The sequence below is a fragment of the Homo sapiens genome, chromosome 22, assembly GCF_000001405.40.
Source record: "Homo sapiens chromosome 22, GRCh38.p14 Primary Assembly".
Lineage (NCBI taxonomy): Eukaryota > Metazoa > Chordata > Mammalia > Primates > Hominidae > Homo > Homo sapiens.
Window position 1 is genome coordinate 22,205,385 of NC_000022.11, and position 19,084 is coordinate 22,224,468.

At 46.9% G+C, this 19,084-nt stretch overlaps 2 pseudogenes, 1 gene segment (V, D, J or C) and 1 further gene; 3 read left to right on the forward strand and 1 right to left on the reverse strand.

Moving 5' to 3' along the window:
• Positions 1 to 19,084, forward strand: part of IGL (immunoglobulin lambda locus) — an 896,838-nt gene that overhangs the window by 179,309 nt on the left and 698,445 nt on the right.
• On the forward strand, positions 9,423 to 9,887 carry IGLV10-54 (immunoglobulin lambda variable 10-54). The segment is given in 2 exon segments: positions 9,423 to 9,468; positions 9,581 to 9,887. Coding segments are annotated over 2 exon segments (353 nt in total).
• On the forward strand, positions 14,263 to 14,749 carry IGLVIV-53 (immunoglobulin lambda variable (IV)-53 (pseudogene); annotated as a pseudogene). The gene is given in 2 exon segments: positions 14,263 to 14,305; positions 14,426 to 14,749. Coding segments are annotated over 2 exon segments (367 nt in total).
• Positions 17,802 to 18,281, reverse strand: TOP3BP1 (DNA topoisomerase III beta pseudogene 1; annotated as a pseudogene).

Below are 19,084 nucleotides of genomic sequence, written 5' to 3' on the forward strand. Positions count from 1 at the left end.
TAGGATCATCCTATTTTATAATGTACAAATGTCTGCAGAGATTGTATGGTTTGTTGTGTTAATGTTTCCCACCTAAAATCTATCATATTGCCACTTTGCCTAATTGTAGTCACATTTATTAAGTAATGCAGTTTGTACTTTTTATTTTGTAACATTCTGTGATTTTTGTACAACATTGTATTTGTACAATACAGCAATTCCCAGTTGATTGAATGAATAAATAAAATGTAAAATCATACTTTATAAAAAGATCTATGTGGCTGATAGAATTCTGACATTCCCCTCCAAATGGAAAGTGATGTGTTTCTTTAAAGTAAAGGTAGAGGAGTCTTAAATATAGGTGTTCCTGCCCCTATTGAGAGGTTTTCAAAACATGCTCTTAATTTAACGTTTAAATATACCAGAGTCTTAGAATGTGAGAATAATGAAATTGGTTTGTTTTAATTTTGTGATAATATTAAATCTACTGGAAAGAATATTCTCCTTTGAAAAGATTCTCAGCTCAGTGATCATAGAACCTGTACTTGCGTTTAATTCAATGAGGAAAGACATAGAAATGCCACGTTAATATCCTCATTTAGGTGGTTTCTCCCTTCACTGATCAGCCTATGAATGTGTCAATGCAGTACTCCCCAGTTTAGGCTTAGGTACTTATTGAAAGGATGCTGCCTGAGCATTTTTAATAATTGCTATTTCAAGATCACATTTTGGCCGTGAGGCAGGCTGCCACTCACTTTAGGCTCTGCCTAGGCAGGAATGGGTCCTGGAAGACACATGTTCTCTCTCTCTCTCTCTCTCTTTCACACACACACACACACACACACACACACACACACGCACACACACACCCCTCTCTTCTCTCTGGGTACACATTATTCTGGACATCTTCAGTTTCCAGGATTCTCTATGTCTCCAGCTAGAAGTCAGGGCTTAGCCTGTGGTGATCCAGCCACCCTCAGGTTGAATCTCGATGAAGTCACAGGAACCACCAGTGGCATGGAGGGTAAGGGATCCTGCTATCAGGTTCAGCCAGGAAATGCTCTGGACACCTGCTGGTGGAAAAGTTTAATGCTGGGCAATCACAGGTCAGGTCCCTTCTTCCAGTCGGCAGTTCAGCCTCCCTGACTTTCTCTGGGTTCCAGTCAGTGCATGAGGATGATGGTGACATTTATTCAGGGGCAGCACAGCAGCCTCAGTCACCACCAACAGTCACTGTCATATGAGAAAATTAGATAGAAATTGGCCTTCCAACTCTTCTGTCAGATCCATCTTTGCCCTTTTTCTGCCTGCTTGAGTGAATACTACCAAGACCAGCTCAGGTTTTTGCTGATGCTATCACACGTGCTCCTAAAACCAGAGGGCTTAATGGTATTTTCTGTTTATCTTTACGGATTCAATGAAAAGACACCTTTTCTTACTGGTCTCCCAATGAAAACATAATCACTATGTCCACAGTAACAAAGATAGCCCTCGTTGTTGTCTGCTGGGATGAGAAGAGCAGCAGAAGTTTGGCAGGTATGGCCCTCATGGGCTTCACATGTCCCTACATCTGGCCCTGGCTTTGCTGATCACCCTTTGGGCTCTGAACCCACAGAGAAGTTAGGTTTCTCTTTCTTTTGAGATTGCCTCTGGAAGAGCTGCTCTGTTCCCAGGTGCAGGGCAGCCCCTCCGCAGTAAGGACCCAGCTCTCAGAGCCATGAAGGCCTCAAGCCTCCAGGTTGACTCCACATTTCTAGTGCTTGTCTCTGGTTCTTTGGTTGGAAAGATGTTGGATGAATAGAAGTTCTCTGAGACCTAGGCTTTGTGAATCCAATCCCCATTAAATCCAGGGATCTTCTTAACGAATAAAATGAATCAGGGCCCAGTGATGGTGGGGAAATGGGACGTGAGGGTTCCTCAGGCCAGTAGTATGGGGAGAACATCCAAAAAGAAAGGAGGGGTTCCACTTTTGAGAATTGTCTTTTTATATCCATCCACATATTGACGAAAATTATAAAATTAGACTAAAATACCTTAAATATATAACATGGTCAAAAGAAAAGAGGTATTACCAGGATAATATTAAATAGCAAAAGAAGTCAGAGGCGAAACAGAGCAAGAGACACTTTTTTTCTGACAGCATCATTCTTATGGGCTATAATGCCAAGGCTTGTGCAGTAGGAGCTGAAGGAATCTCACAGGCGACCCTCACGACAATAACGACAATAACAAAATAAGTCAACCTCTAAAAGAAGCCCATGTAGAATTATCCCCAGGTATGAACCACCTGGAGGCTCAGCAGAACATTAAGCCTTAGATTGGGTTCAAGATGACCACAGACTGGTGATGACCACAGGCCCCTGGGAGAAACACACTCACACGCCTGGTGATGCTGATATCTGGTAAATCATCACTGTGCATCCTGAAACACATTCTGTGATTAGCTCTTTGCAGACCATAACTAACGTGAAAGAAATAATGTCTCAGCTGTAAACACTGCAGAGAGGACCCACTCATTCTACTCCCTTAGGTCATGAGTTGAAAGATCCATTTGCAATGGTCAGGATGTCCTTCCAGAAGAGCTGGGTCTGTGTCTGAGGGGCCACCCGACTTGGGATCGGAGCCAGCAGGGGGTGCTGTTGGACTGTTCCTGAGAGGGAAGGGCTCTGGGCCAGGCCACATAGGAAAATACTGGTTCTCATACACTTGAGCAAGCAGTGTCCTCACTGAAGTATGACTTCCTGCACCTGCACCACCGAGCAGGAGCCACTTCCTGCACCTCAGGAGCCACTGAGCACTAGACTCACACTCCAATGCTTCCTATTTTATCCTCCGCCCTCATGGAGTCCTTGTCCAAGCCTGCCCTTCAAGCAGAGACAAATCACACAGCAGGAACAAATTTGCTCAAAGGAACTTGAACTACAATGTTTCCTGGGCACAGAATGAGAAACACTTGGAATTGGGGAAGTTCCCATCCTAACAACTTAGACTCAGCAAGAAGAACCCTGGAGCTTCTCCAGCATGGCCAGAATCTCAGTCCACTTCAAAATCCTCAGTCTTTAGATCAGGAGTTCTTTTAGGGATGAGGTCAAGGTTTCTGGGTGCACATTACCACTGCCTTTCAGTCCTATCGTCTGGGCATGAGGAGCTTGTTATCTCGTTCTATCCATTATTTCTAAACCTCCTTGTAGAGGGCTGGGTTAGAGAGTGCTAACTGCCATTTATACAGTCTGGACCTTTGTATAAAATTATAAACACACACACACACACACACACACACACACAAACACACATACTTATTTTGATGTTCCAGCGAAAGAGTAAAACTAAACTCAACAGAAACAGAAACAGATTTGAATAATACAAGACAATCTCATTAATGAACATAGAAGCAAAACTTTCTCAGAATATTAGCAATTAGAGTCCATTTTATATCAATGAAGGATTATCTTGAGCATCTGGGAGGATGTGGGTTGAGACATTTGCACAGTCATTGGAAGACAGTGAACATGATTTTTGAAAAAACAGCATGTTTAGAGATATCAACCAGAGGTCAGATGCTTCAATCAGAGAAAGATCCTCTGAGTTCTCAGGGCTGCTTCCCTGAAAAGCTACGGGAGAAGGAAATGGAGTGACTGGACACAATGCCAGGGGATTCATTGACCCTTTGGCTTCCCATGGGCAGCATGCATCAGCATGGTCTTACAAGGATGAAAAAGGGCATCCCTCAAAAAAGACCGACCATTTCCCCAGAAATTAATAAAGAAATATCATGGCCGGGCGTGGTGGCTCACGCCTGTAATACCAGCACTTTGGGAGGTGGGCGGATCAGGAGGTCAGGAGATCGAGACCATCTTGGCTAACACAGTGAAATCCCATCTCTACTAAAAATACAAAAAATTAGCTGGGTGCGGTGGCAGGCGCCTGCAATCCCAGCTACTCAGGAGGCTGAGGCAGGAGAATGGTGTGAACCCAGGAGGCGGAGCTTGCAGTGAGCCTAGATAGCACCATTGCAGTCCGGCCTGGGCGAAAGAGCGAGACTGTCTCAAAAAAAAAAAAAAAAAAAAAAAAATCACAGTATTTTCACCAGTGCATTTCTGTTTGAGCGAATATGTTGGGTGAAGAAATATATAATATATACTTTTCTAAATGAAATTTTTATCTCACAAAATTGTAGAATTAAATTTTTGTTTTGGATAAGAAATCAAGAAACAATCACACACATTCTTATGATCTCATGAAAACCAGGTATAGGAAAGGAAGTGACGACCCCAAAATTCATCTAAAAAGTGAAGGTTTTGGTTCAAAGATAAGAGGGTTGTCATGTTCAAGACAAAGTCACTACCATTCGTGGTATTTAAAGCTGTTGGTACAAGTGCCTATCATTGCCGATTCCCTTCAAATTTCTTGTGTATGTTTGGATCTTAAACATGAGCACACACAAAAAGAGAAACAGCAAAACTAGAAAACAGATTTACCTTTTTGAGTTTCCAACTGGAGGAGAAAATGAACAAAGAGTAAGAATATCACATGATAATGGGAGGAGGAGTGTTAGGAAGGTGATGAGGAGCAGTTCAGCCTTCCCAGCTTGGGGACAGTCTTAGTGGAGCAGAGAAACCTCCTTCCTGCTGCCACCTGACTCTCTAGAGTAGATGAAGAATAAATAACTAAACATAAAAAGCCCTTAGGAAAAAGATTGTCATGATGTCAGTGCTATTAATAGTTCAGTTAATAATTCTGTAAGAATATGCAAAAACTTACTGGCTTTTTAAAAATTTTTATTTATTTATTTCTTTTGAGACGGAGTCTCGCCCTGTCGCCCAGGTTGGAGTGCAGTGGCGCGATCTCGGCTCACTGCAAGTTCCGCCTCCAGGGTTCAGGCCAACTTACTGGCTTTTATATTTGGAATCACAACCTGAAAGGCTGCAGAACATGAAAGGAAGAAAACTCAGATTGCAGTGTTCATTCTCTTTTATATTATGAGTTTCCTGCAAGAGCTACATCTGTTATTATGCAAAAACAAACAGATAAGGAAACAAGAATTATCCAGCCTCAAGAGTGGAATAAAACATGCACTTTTTTTGCTTGTAGGCATAGGTGAGTAATTCAGACACGGCTGCTGTGGGTGACTCATTTCCCCTTATGATGGAGCCTCAGCAAAAAAGCTTCACAGATTGGGGCTGATTTGGTATGAAGGGGTTGGAATCGACTGAAGGTGACCTCATTGAGAGTCTGCAGTGAAGCCGGCCTTGGCTGAATGACCTACCTGAGGCCTCCCATGTGGCCTGGGTTTCCAGGAAGCTGGGCAGTCCCAGAGAATTCAGAGCTCTGACTTGGTTTATAAAGTGTCACTTCCACAGAAACTGTCAGTGCCGAGAGATCACTAGTGCCAGATCTGGTTAACAGGGAGGGGCCTGATCTCACCCCTCAACGGAAGGTGACGGGAAAACAAAGGAAAAGCTGTCTTCACATCAACATGGGCAGATACCACTTTAAAGCATATTCTGTAGCAGGGTTCCCACTCCAGAAGCTGTGGTACAGGATGTGTCTCCTATGGCATGGGCCAAGGGAGGGTAAAGGTGAGTTTGACATCTGTCTCAGTCACCATGAGGTTTTTCTGACAACTAAATATAAATATGTAAGGTGTCTCACAGCACAATCATGTGACAATAAATGCAGTGCGTGCCTTCAATATTGCTCTATCAAGGAGGCTTTCCCTCCACTCCAGGTGTGAGCACGTGGCTTGCATGTCCCTCCACTCCAGGTGTGAGCACGTGGCTTGCATGTCCCTCCACTCCAGGTGTGAGCACGTGGCTTGCATGCCCCTCCAGCTTCCTGCACTGTGGTCATACTGCTGCTGCCTCATTCTCAGCCTGAGCATCCCTACACAGGCACAAACTCTATGGCTCAGGCTGGTCATCACTCTGGGTCCACAGTAGCTGGTCAGAGAGAAACTGTCTTCAGCCCTGCCCAGCAGGAGAAAAGAGCATTCCAGACTGATCAGCTGGGTTCCTGCCATCCAGAAGTCCTTGTCTGTCTGGAGGCTCAAAACATGACTGTGATTCCTTTGAGGACTCCTCCCATACCCAGGCTGTGGGCTTCGCTGCCCTCCTCAGGACCCGTGCAGCCTGTTCTATCCCTGCCTCAGCTGCAGGCAAAGCTGCTTGCCACAAGCTCCCTGCTCATAGGATGCCGGAGTCCTCCCAAGGGCTGCTCTTCCTGGAGAAGAAGGAGAACCAGGCAGTAAGGTCTACCTGAGCATCATGGGAAGGAAGTGATCCGATTCTGACTCCGGTGGGCGCACACCCTTGGTGCTTTGTGTCTCCTGCTATCCCAGCCACAGGAGTGGGGGAAATGTGTGAGTTGTAGTCCTAGCCGGGAATAATCCATAAAAGGTGAAGGTGAGAGAAGGACACTATGCATGGTGTCACCTTGTTTTCCTCGTTGTTTCAGCGGCCTGAGTCCTGTGTTTCCTGAAAGATCTGTGGCTCGAGGTGACACGCCCTATCAGGGGACAGGAATCAAAGAGGAGAATCTCTGATGGAAAAATTCACAAAGGAAGAGGGAGATAAAAATTGGGCAACATGCTCAGGGTGAGAACGATGGCTTTTTGTCCTTGTGATAGTTTGCTGAGAATGATGGTTTTCAGCTTCATCCATGTCCCTACAAAGGACATGAACTCATAATTTTTTATGGGCAAGGACAAACAACCAAACACCGCATGTTCTCACTCATAGGTGGGAATCGAACAATGAGAACACATGGACACAGGAAGGAGAACATCACACACCGGGGCCTGTTGTGGGGTTGGGGGAGTGGGGAGGGATAGCATTAGGAAATACACCTAATGTAAATGATGAGTTAATGGGTGCAGCACACCAACATGGCACATGTATACATATGTAACAAACCTGCACGTTGTGCACGTGTACCCTAAAACTTAAAGTAAAATAAAAAAAAAAAGACGGCTTTGTGTCAAGGGCTATTTATTTAGTGTCTCTCGTTCCCATTATTAAATAATTTAACAACAAAAATTGCCTTTTCTATGAATTTTCAGGAAATTCTAACCATCATTCCTTTATTAAATATCTAGATATGTACATCTACACATATGCATATACATGTGCATATATAGACATATATTATATTATATATATTTGTGTGTATGCATGTGTGTATATATTTATATATATATACATGCATGTGTATATACACACACAAAGACAAATTAAGAAATATGGGAATATAGTATACTTCTTTAATTTCTTAATAATGTCCATTTATATCTAAAAAAAAGATACCCCTAAGGTTGAACCACTAGAATCATTTTATTTTTAATGTGGAACAATAGAAAGCTTATGGCCCATAAAGATATTGGATAACATATTTTTCTAGCAATATGAGAAATAAGCAAAAGTGTAAAACATTTAAATACAATAATTTAATTCAAAAATATGAAATAATTTGTATTTTTTAGTTGCTATGTTTATCTACCAAGAAGGCATTATATTATTCTGATGTTCTTACACATTGTTGAATTAAAGCTTGTTAAATACAAATGTTATCATATGTGCAAATAGCATATCAACATTTCTTTTTCTCTCATATATTTTCAGAAATCACTTTAAAATGTAGCAGTTCATAATGTTGACAAAATATCAAAATCTATAAACTCTGGGTTTAAAAAACAATGAAATACACAGTACACATAAGAAAATAGTGTCAAAGCTCACTACTATAAGAGACAATGATCAATATTGAAATTTTCTCTTACATGAAGACGCTCAAAACATTTTAGCAGTGACTAGTGAGGTTGTATCCATTCTCTTATGTTTATATTTATGTTTAAAATATTGTCCTTGAGAAGGAGTGTAGGTAGGTATAAGCAGAGGTGGCTGTGCGGATCCAAGATTCTAGCCTGCCCCCTTGATACAGCCCATTACCCTAGTCCCATCCAATCTCACACATGGCCCATCATCATCTTCTGACTTGAGCGGGGAGAGAGACGGTGGGTAGAGAGGGAGGAAAGGAGTTAGTTCAGAGCATAGGAGACGTGGTCAGAGAGTTGGCAGAGGGAGGGAGGGAGGCAGATACTGTGGGTTCACGTGGTGCTTTGACAACTGTGGATTTACTTCTGAATGAAGCATGAAGTCATTGAGAGTGTGGAACAGTAAAATGATATTGCAAAATAAAATAAACTAAGATTCCAGTGAGCATGTTGGGAATCACAAACACTCACAGCTGGGTGAATAAACAAGTGCTGCCATCTGGAGAAAAGTTCCTCAGCACACAAGGAGAAGTGTGTTTGCCTCTGTCAAGCAGAAGTCCACCTATACAGAGACACAAGGAAATGTTTATAAAGAGATCCTTATTCGGAGCAAAGTATTGGAAGCAACATAGGTGTTCAACACAAGTGGAATTTATAACACAAGGAGAAGATAAAATGCTAGCCAGTTGGAAGTAATACAACTTCTTATGCGACACGAATAAAAATATAATTATCAGTTGAAAAACAATAACAACAAACTCCCACCAAATTAAACAAAATCAAAAGCTCTCAAGAAAAAAACAATGTGCCACTTATTTTAAAGCAGAAACATGCATAACGAATTCTTCAAGCTTATATAACGGGCTTTTTGGAAAGTAGACTGGAGGCACATTATTTCACATAAATGGGTGTCTTAGGAAGAGATGGAGACACGTATAATGGCTAAAAAATGAAATAAATCCATAGAGAGGTTTTTAGTGTCTAGTGATAAAAGTACTAATAATATTACGTAATTAAATTCCAAAAAATTAATACAGAAAAATATTCTTGATTTGGGGGTGGTAACAGATGATTAAGTAAAGCGAGTCTACATGAGCTGCTGATGCAGTGGATGACAAGCTCTCTGCAGCTCATTGTTAGTGAGAAGGGCACTGCTTTGCCAGAAACCCCTTTTATTTAGATTTCTCATGGTCCCTGGGTCCCTCTCCAACACCATGAGCAGCTTCAGAAGAGGATCAGGATAACCAGTGACTCTCTGGCTACCATGGCCCAGTTGTGTCCGAGAGGTAAGAAAGGTTTGGGATCTTGGACAGAGTGGGACAGTGGGAGAAATTCCTGAGATGGCCCCAACCAGCCTGGAAACCACTCAGAACCTGCATTGAAGTTTAGCCATCAGGGTGCTCTTGAGACTCGGTTTGGGCTGCAACACAGACCTGTGGGGACAGGGGTCACCATAAGCCAGGCCACCTCCACCCCTGGGTCAGCTCATCTCCTCCCTCTCTGCTTCAGATCTTTGAGTAACCAGCACATGGAGGCCCGGGAAAAGTCAGAGAGCAAGATCTTATTTAAATGCTGTGACTCCACCCCCATGAAGGCTTTGGGAGCTATAAAAAAGAGACTTAGGGGAGCCCAGTCTCCAAACAGAGCTTCAGCAAGCATAGTGGGAATCTGCACCATGCCCTGGGCTCTGCTCCTCCTGACCCTCCTCACTCACTCTGCAGGTGAGAGTGGACCTTACCCAGGGATCTGCACCCACCTCTGCTCCAGCTTCTCCACTCCCTGGCTCAGTGGACTCTGATCCTGCTCTCACATTCCTTTCTGTCCCCTCTACAGTGTCAGTGGTCCAGGCAGGGCTGACTCAGCCACCCTCGGTGTCCAAGGGCTTGAGACAGACCGCCACACTCACCTGCACTGGGAACAGCAACATTGTTGGCAACCAAGGAGCAGCTTGGCTGCAGCAGCACCAGGGCCACCCTCCCAAACTCCTATCCTACAGGAATAACAACCGGCCCTCAGGGATCTCAGAGAGATTCTCTGCATCCAGGTCAGGAAACACAGCCTCCCTGACCATTACTGGACTCCAGCCTGAGGACGAGGCTGACTATTACTGCTCAGCATTGGACAGCAGCCTCAGTGCTCACACAGTGCCTCAGGCCAGTGGGGAAGTGAGATAAAAACTCAAGAGCTCCCTCGGCCTCACTGAACAGGCCTCACAGAGCACTGTTTAAACTGGACCACCCAAAAGACAAGGGATGCATTCACAATAGTGTACACTATTTAGGACTGTTAAAAATAGGAACATGAAGTGAAATTAGCAAGCCTGCCTTATTAACAAATGTGTGTAGGGAACATCATTGTTTATATATTAGTAGTTACATATATATAATACTAGTGCATGAACATACATATGCACTAGCAATTAGTAAAAAAGAAACACTAGGTTTAACTAAGGAAATATTTATTATTCCAGAGTTTTCTTATCCATTCCATTTGAAGATGCTGGGATCAAGTCACCGAGGGTGCTGCTCTCTGGCCTTGAGAATCCACTCAGCAGGGCCACCAGCAGCCCCTCCCTTCTGTGGCCTGCTCATGCCCTGTCTTCTCATTAGAATCCCCTTCCCTGCTGTCACAGGGATCCCTGGACTCCTCCAGATCCAAATATGTCCAATACATTTGGTTGAGGCCTCCTGGGCCCCACATTACTGTGTAATCTCAACACCCACACACTCAAAACAGTGTTCCCATGCGTATTCTTCTTTCGACTCATCACTGTCCTCTAACAGCCATGGGCAGTGTGTGGAGAGAGCAGGTGAAGTTGGAGCTTTGGGGTACAGTTGACAGAGATGTTGACATTTTGAGAAAAAGAAAACACCTATATAGCTGTTTTCAGGATAATTTTCCATCAAGATAAAAATCCACGCATGAGAGCATCACTCTTCCAGTGATGAATGCATGGAGGATCCTTCTCACTCTATTGTTGGGTAGTGACACCTGGGAAACTTACTGTGTTATTTAGTGTGCAGACAGCTGGTAAACCACTCAGCTGACTCTAGGGAAGTTGACCAAACAGTGTCCCCACTGATGTGTGACTTTTCTCCACCCATGAGGCCCCACTACCCTGTCACCTCCTGAGTCCACCTTTCCCATTGCGTTGCTTTAGATTTGAGGCATCTCTCTCTTACCTCTTTAAAGTCTTTACCCAAGTCTGGTTCAGGAAGTGCTGATACACGGTGAGAACCCAGGGTGCATATGGATGGAGTGATTCTGTGCCTAGGAGAGCCTGGCCAGGGGATCCAACACAGCTTGTGGCCATCCTCCCCGCAGTGGAGCTTCTGGAGACAGAGCTCTGAGGTGTCCCCACCACACCCTGGGGCCTTTCTCCCTCAGTTCTTTATAAAAGGGATATTTGTCATGGGCTTAGGGGAAGAGGCCGCTGAGGTCACACAAGACCTGCCTTCTTGCTCTGGCTCACAAGGCACAAGTGAGCTGTGACCCTGGACTCTGTGTCAGTGCTGTGGTCACTTGGTCAGAACTAAGGGAAGCTGGAGAAATGTGGGTAGCTTTGATGCAGTCTGGCACCAGAAGCTCCATCCTGAAGCACTCTGAAGGTGCTGATGGCTGTTCACTGTGCTGCACCCTGAGCAGGAGGATGATCATCATCGCAGACCTAGGGTGACAGCCTCAGAGCTGAAATATTCCTCCTGGCCCTGAGAAAAGTGGGCTAAAGTTCTCCCTTCTGCGTGTGTTACCCAGTGGTTTGCCCCCCTTTCATCACCTGTGACCAACATGGGCTCATTGGGGATATTTGTGCTGTCATTTCTGGCACAAGAACCCAAAGATCTAAGACCATAAAATGCATTTGGTCTTTCATACTGTCTATTCCCATCAGGGCAGACATCTATCCATTAATACATTTTATTTAATTTTCTTGTCTTATATTTTCAGAGCAATGATGAGTAATGAGTGAGGTAAGGGGTACCTTTGCATTTTTTTGATCTCAGGGAAAATGTCCTCCATGCAGTAAGATGATGACTCCGGACCAAGACAGGTGTGTGTGTGTGTGTGTGTGTGCGCGCGCGCGCGCGTGCGCGTGCACACGTGCACACGCATGTGTGTTACCATATCATAAACAAATTTATCTGTTTCTGTATTCTTACGTGATTTTTATTAGGGATAGATATTAAAATTTGCCAAACACATTAAAAATCTATTGATACAATATGATCTTTGGTTGTGATGTAATAATATGGTATTATACCAAAACTTTTATTAATGTTGAACCCAACCATTATTTTAAGTATAAATCCCACTTGACAATGGTGTATAAATGCGTAAATCTGGTGTTGAAATCAGTTCGTTCCTCAAATTTCCTGGTTCAAGTGATCCTCCCACCTCAGCTCCTTGAGTAGCCGGGATTCCAAGTGGGTGTCACCATGCCTGGCTAATTAAAAACAAATCTTATTTGTCTCAACATATTGCCCAGTCTGGTCTCGAACTCCTGGGCACAAGCGATCCTCCTGCCTCAGCCTCCCAGAATGAGTTAACATTTTATTTTAAAATTTTGCATTAATATGTTTATTTTATTTTTTATTTTTAAAATTTTTAACTTTTATTTTAAATTCAGGTGGTACATGTGCAGGTTTGTTACAAGGGTATATTGTGTGATGTTGAAGTATACAATTTTATCTTTTTAAATTGCTCTTAATACATATTTTTAATTTAAATTTCAACTTTTATTTTAAATATAGCAGGTACACGCGCAGGTTTGTTACATGGGTGTATTGCACCCGGGTTGTGAGCATTGTACCCAACAGGTAGTTTTTTACACCATTCCCTCCTCTCCCTCCCCCTCCTAGCAGTGCCCAGTGTCTATTGTTCTCATGTTTATGCCATGCGTGCTCAATGTTTATCTCCCACTTAAAAATGAGAACACGTGGTATTTGGCTTTCTGTCCCTGTGTTAGTTGCCTAGGATTATGTCCCCCTGCTGCATCCATGTTGCTTCAAAGGACATTATTTTATTCCTTTTTATGGATGCATAGTATTCCATGGGGTATATAAACTATATTTTCTTTATCCAACCCACCACTGACGGGCACCTAGGTTGATCCCATGTCTTTGGTATTGTGAATAGTGTGGTGGTGAATATACAAGTGCATGTGGCCTTTGGGTATAATGATCTATTTGTCTTTGGATAGATACCCTGTAATGGGATTGCTGGGTCAAATGGTAGCTCTGTTTTAAGTTCTTTGAGAAGTCTTCAAACTGCTTTCCACAATGCCTGAAATACGGTGTATACGTGTTTTCTTTACTCTACAGCCTCACCATCAGCTGTTGTTTTTTTACTCTAATTATAGCCATTCTGACTGGTGTGACATGGCGTCTCATTGTGGTTTTGATTTGCATATCTTGATGATTAGTGATGATGAGCATTTCTCCACAGTTTTGTTGGCCACTAATTTAGTGCAGTTTTAAGTTCATAGCAAAATACAGAAGAAGGTAGAAAGATATTCCCTATCCTCCCTGGCTCCACACATGTCCAGCCTTCCCCCTTATCAACGGGTCCCATCAGAAATGTACATGTCCTGTAATTGATGAACCACATTGACAGGTCATTATCACTACAAGTCAGTATTTTCCTTAAGGAATTTTTCTCGCTGATGCACATCCTATGGCTATGGGTTTGTGCAAATATATAATGACATATATCCACCATTACAGTATCATGCAGTGTATTTCCCTTCCCTACAAATCTTCTGGCTTTACTGATTCATCTCTCTCTCTCCCCTAACCTTTGGAAGTCGATGACTTTTCTACTTTTTTCCTTTGTTTGACTGTAATACACTTGAAATTATTTCCCCCTTTTTGGACTGTAATATACTTGGAATCACGTATCATGTCATTTGCAGGTCAGCTCCTTTTACTTACTAATAAGCATTTAAGTTTCTTCCATGTCTTTTCGTGGTTTGATAGTGTGTTGTCCATAAACATGTAGAATATATTAATATAAAGTACTTTGGAGCTGATCACATCACTGGCCATTCAGGTTTTTCAATTACTGTTTGTTGAATGACAGTGACCAGTCAGATGACAGGAAGTCTTAGACCCCCTGAGAACACAGAAGATGGACTGAGGATGTCAGGGTCACCGAGGACTGCACTGGGTGCTCTCATGGAGGGCTCAGTAGGGGTGTCCTCTAGTTCCAGTGAGCCTGGACTGTGATGGGCACTCAGAGAAGGGTCCTCTCTAGCCTAGCAGAGCCCCTGCTCACAGGCCTACCAGCTGTCCCAGCAGCTTTCCCTCCCAGGTCCTTCCGTGGGGCAGACAGAGTCTCACTGCCTGTTAGCCCTTCCTACCCACAAGACCCTCAGCAAAAGATCCTTATTCAGTGCTCAGGGAGAGGTGGGGCAGATAGCAGCTGGGGCCACACCTGCATGACCAGCTCCTCCTCGCTGAGGCCTACAGCAGGTAATAAACTCAATCCATCCCACTGGACCAAAGGGAGCTGTGTCTACCATGGCCTGGACCCCTCTCGTGCTTGTCCTCACTCCCTGCACATGTAGGGAAAAGGCCTAGAGACCTGGGGCAGTTCCCAGCTTGTGTCAGCCCCTCTGGCTCAGACTTGCCAACAGCTTAACCCTGACACCTGCTCCAACAATGTAAATGTTTGCATTTCCAGGTTCCCTCTTCCAGGCTGGGCTGACCCAGGTGTCCTCACTCCCAGCATCTTCATGCAGATCAAACACTCACCTGCACTCAGAGCATATCGGCTTTCATATCGGTGGCAAAAATACCTTCTTTTCCCTACAGAATCCAGGGAGCCCTCCAACTATGTTCTGAGATTATGCTCAGGCTAAAATGAGTACCAGGCCTCTGGGGTCCCCAGACAATTCTCTGGGTTGAGAGGCTCCTCCAGAGTCTCAAGTTATTTGGTCGTCTCTGGCCTTCACCTTGAGGATGGAGCAGATCATCTCTCTCAGATGGGCTGACAGGGCATGGCTTACACTGTGCTCTAGGCCAATGGGAAAATCCCCTCTGCTTGTGCTGCCTGGGCTCCCACTAGGCCCCTGCTGTTTGTGACAACAGCCAGCACTGGTGGTGACGCTTCAGCCATGTATGCCCTACGGTGAGAGTCTGCAGCCCTTCCACGCAACTATCACTTGCAGAATGTCTGCATCATTGCTAATAGCACATTCTGAGCCTCCTCACGTTTCTGTGGGCAACAATTTCCTTCCCAAGACGTGCACATGATACAGGAGATTTATTTACCAAATAAGTTTATTAGGAATCCAATTATAATTAGAAGATATTCATCAGTGATCGGGGGAAATACCTGGTATAATTAAAATAGAATTTGATGAAAATATAAATAAAGAACTAAATTATGAAGGTGTGGGCAGAGAGTCTGGACACCCTAAGGGAGATGGAAAACCATTCATCCTTGCCAGGAATGAATGTCTCTGGGATGCTTCTCTAACAGGAGGAACCTGGAGTGAGACCAGGAACCTGGAGAACTAGCAGCTGGGTGACTGGAAAGGAAACCATCTGGGGTGGGGTTGGGTCTGCAAGGCAGGAGGTGTCTGGGCAGAGAAAGCAGGGCTGGGGCGGAGGGTCCTGCCTCATCCCATTCTCCTGCTCACTCCTTCCTAGATCCCTGTCAGGGCAGTAACCATGAGCAAGGCTTGAGGCTACTTCTTATAAACTGTGGCCCTGGGCACATTCCTTAGCTCACCTGAGCCTCAGTTTCTTGATGAGAAAAAATCGGGACAATAGCAACCAACCTATCTCAGAGGGCTGCTGTGAGACCCTGAGCCACTGTTTCTCAAACTGCCCCTGAGATCACCTACAACAGAATGGCTGTAGGGTGAAGTTTGAGAACCGCAGTATAGGTGAGGTGGTGCGTGGGGCAGGCCCTCCCACACTGTAAAGTGCAGTGTGGTGCGGTAAAAGCTGATATTCCCGCAGGCATCCTCAGAGTGGGCCCAATTAGACTCTTGAGCACTGATTCCATTCAAGGTCTGCGGCTTAGAGAGGATGGCAAAGTGAGGCACCACCAGGAGCTTGTCCCTATGGGCTCCAGGCCAAGGACGTGCCTGGAGATGACTCCTGCCTTGTGGCGCTGTCACTGCCTCACTGTCCACATTCCATCACGCCTCAGATCCTGGCTTCCACCCTGGTGAAAGGAATCTTTCAATATCACCCACCCAGCCACAGACGCTTCTCTGCTTCTCTGGCAAGGCTGCACCCCTGGCTAGGTGGGCAGGGCCAGGGGCTCCTTGAGACAGTCTGCAGCCACTGAGCTCTCCAGCCTCCAGGGCAGAGGTACAGTCCCATGGAGCGTGGCTGATCTGAAGGCAGTTCTGGCCTAAAAGGGGTCTTGTCCCTTCCTCGTCCTCATTGCTCCCAAGGCCAGGTTGGCAGCAGTAGCAGCGGGGTTGGATGCTATTGGATGGGAGAAGGTGAATGGACTCGGAGTGCAGAATCAAGCTGCGGAAGCCAAGGGCCTTGAAGGAGGGTCACACACAAGGGACAACTGCAGAGGAAAATAAAGGAACACTTTGTGATTAGCCCTGCCTGTGGCTGAAAGCGCAGTGCAGAAGCATAGTAAGGAAGGACTGGGTGGTCTGGGTTTAAGACCTAGGAACCGTCTCTGCTCCTCCAAGCCTGAATGAGCCCTATAACCTAAGGGTCCTGGAGGTCTTGAAACCTTCTGCGGAGAAGGCTCCAGGTCCACTGGGCCCTGTGGGTGGAAGAGCAGAGTCACAGCCCCGCACTGGGGACCTAACAGGTGTGGCCTTGCTAGGGCCCCAGAATGGGACCAGAGTGGGTGGGAGGGGGCAGAAGCTCTGAGAGCACCCCCTCCTTCCTGAAGCCTGTGCTTCTGAGACACATCCCAGGACCCTCTATGTGGTTCCCCATGTCTCTGTATTTTCATTCAGCTTCGAGTAGCTCTCCAAACTGTGTTCCAGGGAACCCCCGTGTTAACCTGTGAGGGCCTCCAGGAAGGGGGTCCAGGTGGGGTATGCTTGGTGGGCTCTGGGTTTCCTTACAGGAGCTCTCATATAAGTCCTGGTGCAGCCTGGGAATCTACTACTGAGTTGGGGCGGGGGCGGGTCTGAGTCCGAAACATTCCTGACCTGCCCCTCAAAGAAAGGTCCCACTGAACAGTCTGGAAAGCTGTTTTGCTGAGCTCCCGTCATCACTCAATGAGGCACGGGCGGAGTGTGGAGGGAGTTTCCAACACACAGTGGATCCCGCACAGGTGTCTCTCCTCGGGTGGCTGGGGAGGGGAGCACAAGAAGGCACTGAGGTCAGAGGGCAGCTGCCACCAGCACCTGGCACCACAGGGCAGTCTGGCCTACAGGGTATTTTCTAAACCTGGCATGTGAATGGGTTCCATGGGGCACCCAGCTGCCTCTAAGACCATAAGGCCTTGTTGTGAGAATGGGAATTGCAGCAGGTCCTGGGAAGCTGCCAGACGCACACGGGCACCATGTACAGGGCTTCTCAGAGATGGGAGCAGGGAGCAGGGGACGGAGAAGCGTGGGGTCAAGAGCGTGGCCCTGAGCAGGGGGCTGCAGCGAAGACCAAGGGGATTCATAAGCCAGATCCAGGGAGGGGGTCTCCCAGCCCCACCTGCTCCACTAAACTCCTCTCCTGCCGGAGCCACAGCTGTCAAGGCCGCCTTCCTTAAGGCATCAGGGCCACTGCTTGTGCACACAGCTACCATCAGCAGCACGGATTGAGATGGGGTGTGAGTGCAAACTGGGTCTATTCCCCAGGGCTTCAGGGTTGGGGCATCCCTGCCCGTACTGCCAGGGTGTAGGGATAGCAGGGAGCACTCTGGGCACGTGTATGCAGGCTGAAGGGAGACGTATTGGGTTTCGGAGAGGGAAAGAGGGCCCCACAGGTGCCCAGGGACACGGTAACGCTCTGACATCGCTGCACCAGCAAAGGGGCCCCAGCTCTGGATAAGATAAAATGCATTTTAATAGTTTGAAGTGCCATGAGGTGTCTGCATGGCACTGCAGCCTGGGTGAGGGAGGACAGGGTCATCATACAAAGTAGGCGGCCAGGGCTGACATCTTGTCCTTGGGCCGTCTGGGGTTGGGCTTCCCAGGGGGCCTCCTGGCCCGGCCCCGCCCTCGACCCTGCCTTCTCCCTGGTCCACCGCGGTGCATGGGGTGGCAGGAGGCCGCATGCTTCAGCTCCACCAGCTCCTGGAAGACGGGGTCACAAAAGACGCAGCCCATGTGCTGCGCCTCATCGCCCGGGAGTGGGGACTTGGCCTTGTTGAAGTCCACATCAAGCAAGGCGGCCTCACAGACACTGCAGGTGTCGGCGGACACCCGCACGCGGTGGGCGTTCTCGAAGCAGTGCGCTACCACGTTGCACTTGTTGCAGGCCACCTTCCACTTGGGGCCCGAGGTGGGGTCCAGCACCAGCACCCCGCTCTCACATTCCACGCACTGGCCGATGCCCAGCATGCTCAGCGAGTGCTGGCAGGAGGGGTGCGTACACTCGTTGCAGCCCATGCCTGGCGGGAGAAGGGAGCCCTGTAAAGGCACGCCCACTGTGCCCACCTGCCCTCTGCTGCCTGCTCCCAATGCCTCAAGCTCCTGGATCCCTCGTCCCAGCAGAAGGAACTCTTCTTGGCCTTGCTCTTGGGGACAGCCTTGCTCATGTTTCGGCTCCTGGCTGCCATTACCCCTGTTTTCTGCTTACCTGAAACCTCCTCAACTTTCAAGGCCCCTCGCTGGCGCCATCCCAGTGGGTTTCAGCTGACTCCATCCCCCCTTTGCTTTGCTGCCAGCTTGTTACTGGTAATGCCACATGACCCTCATGTCACTGGGCCACATGGGACCACCCTGTCAGCTACTCTGGCGGCAGCAGGAGGGCAGGGATGGGGTCTCACTCCCGGGGCAGCCTGGGTGCAGACTGAGGCCTGAGGGGGCTTTCTGCAGAGCACACGGTGAATGTGGGCAGATGCCTCACTCCCGCTGATTCCTGGTCTGGCTCGGTGCTCTGTCCTGCCTGCCTGGACATGCGCTCCCTCCTCCAGTAATGAGGACGAGGATGAGGATGGAGGACAGTGGTGGACGCTGACTGGGGGTGCCCGCTCACCGGGTGGGTCCCCCGACTGCTGCATCCTCTTGCTGACTCAGCTCCAGAGGGAGCACTGCACACCTGCGCCCAGGTCCTGAGGGTGGACTAGGGTTGCCTGCTCGATTCTGACACAGAGAGAGGGTGGCACCACTGGCTGAGGCCTAAGCAGTGCCCCAGCTACATCCAGGGTCTCTCGTCTCAGTGCCAATGAGTGCAGGAAAGGCCAGGGTGA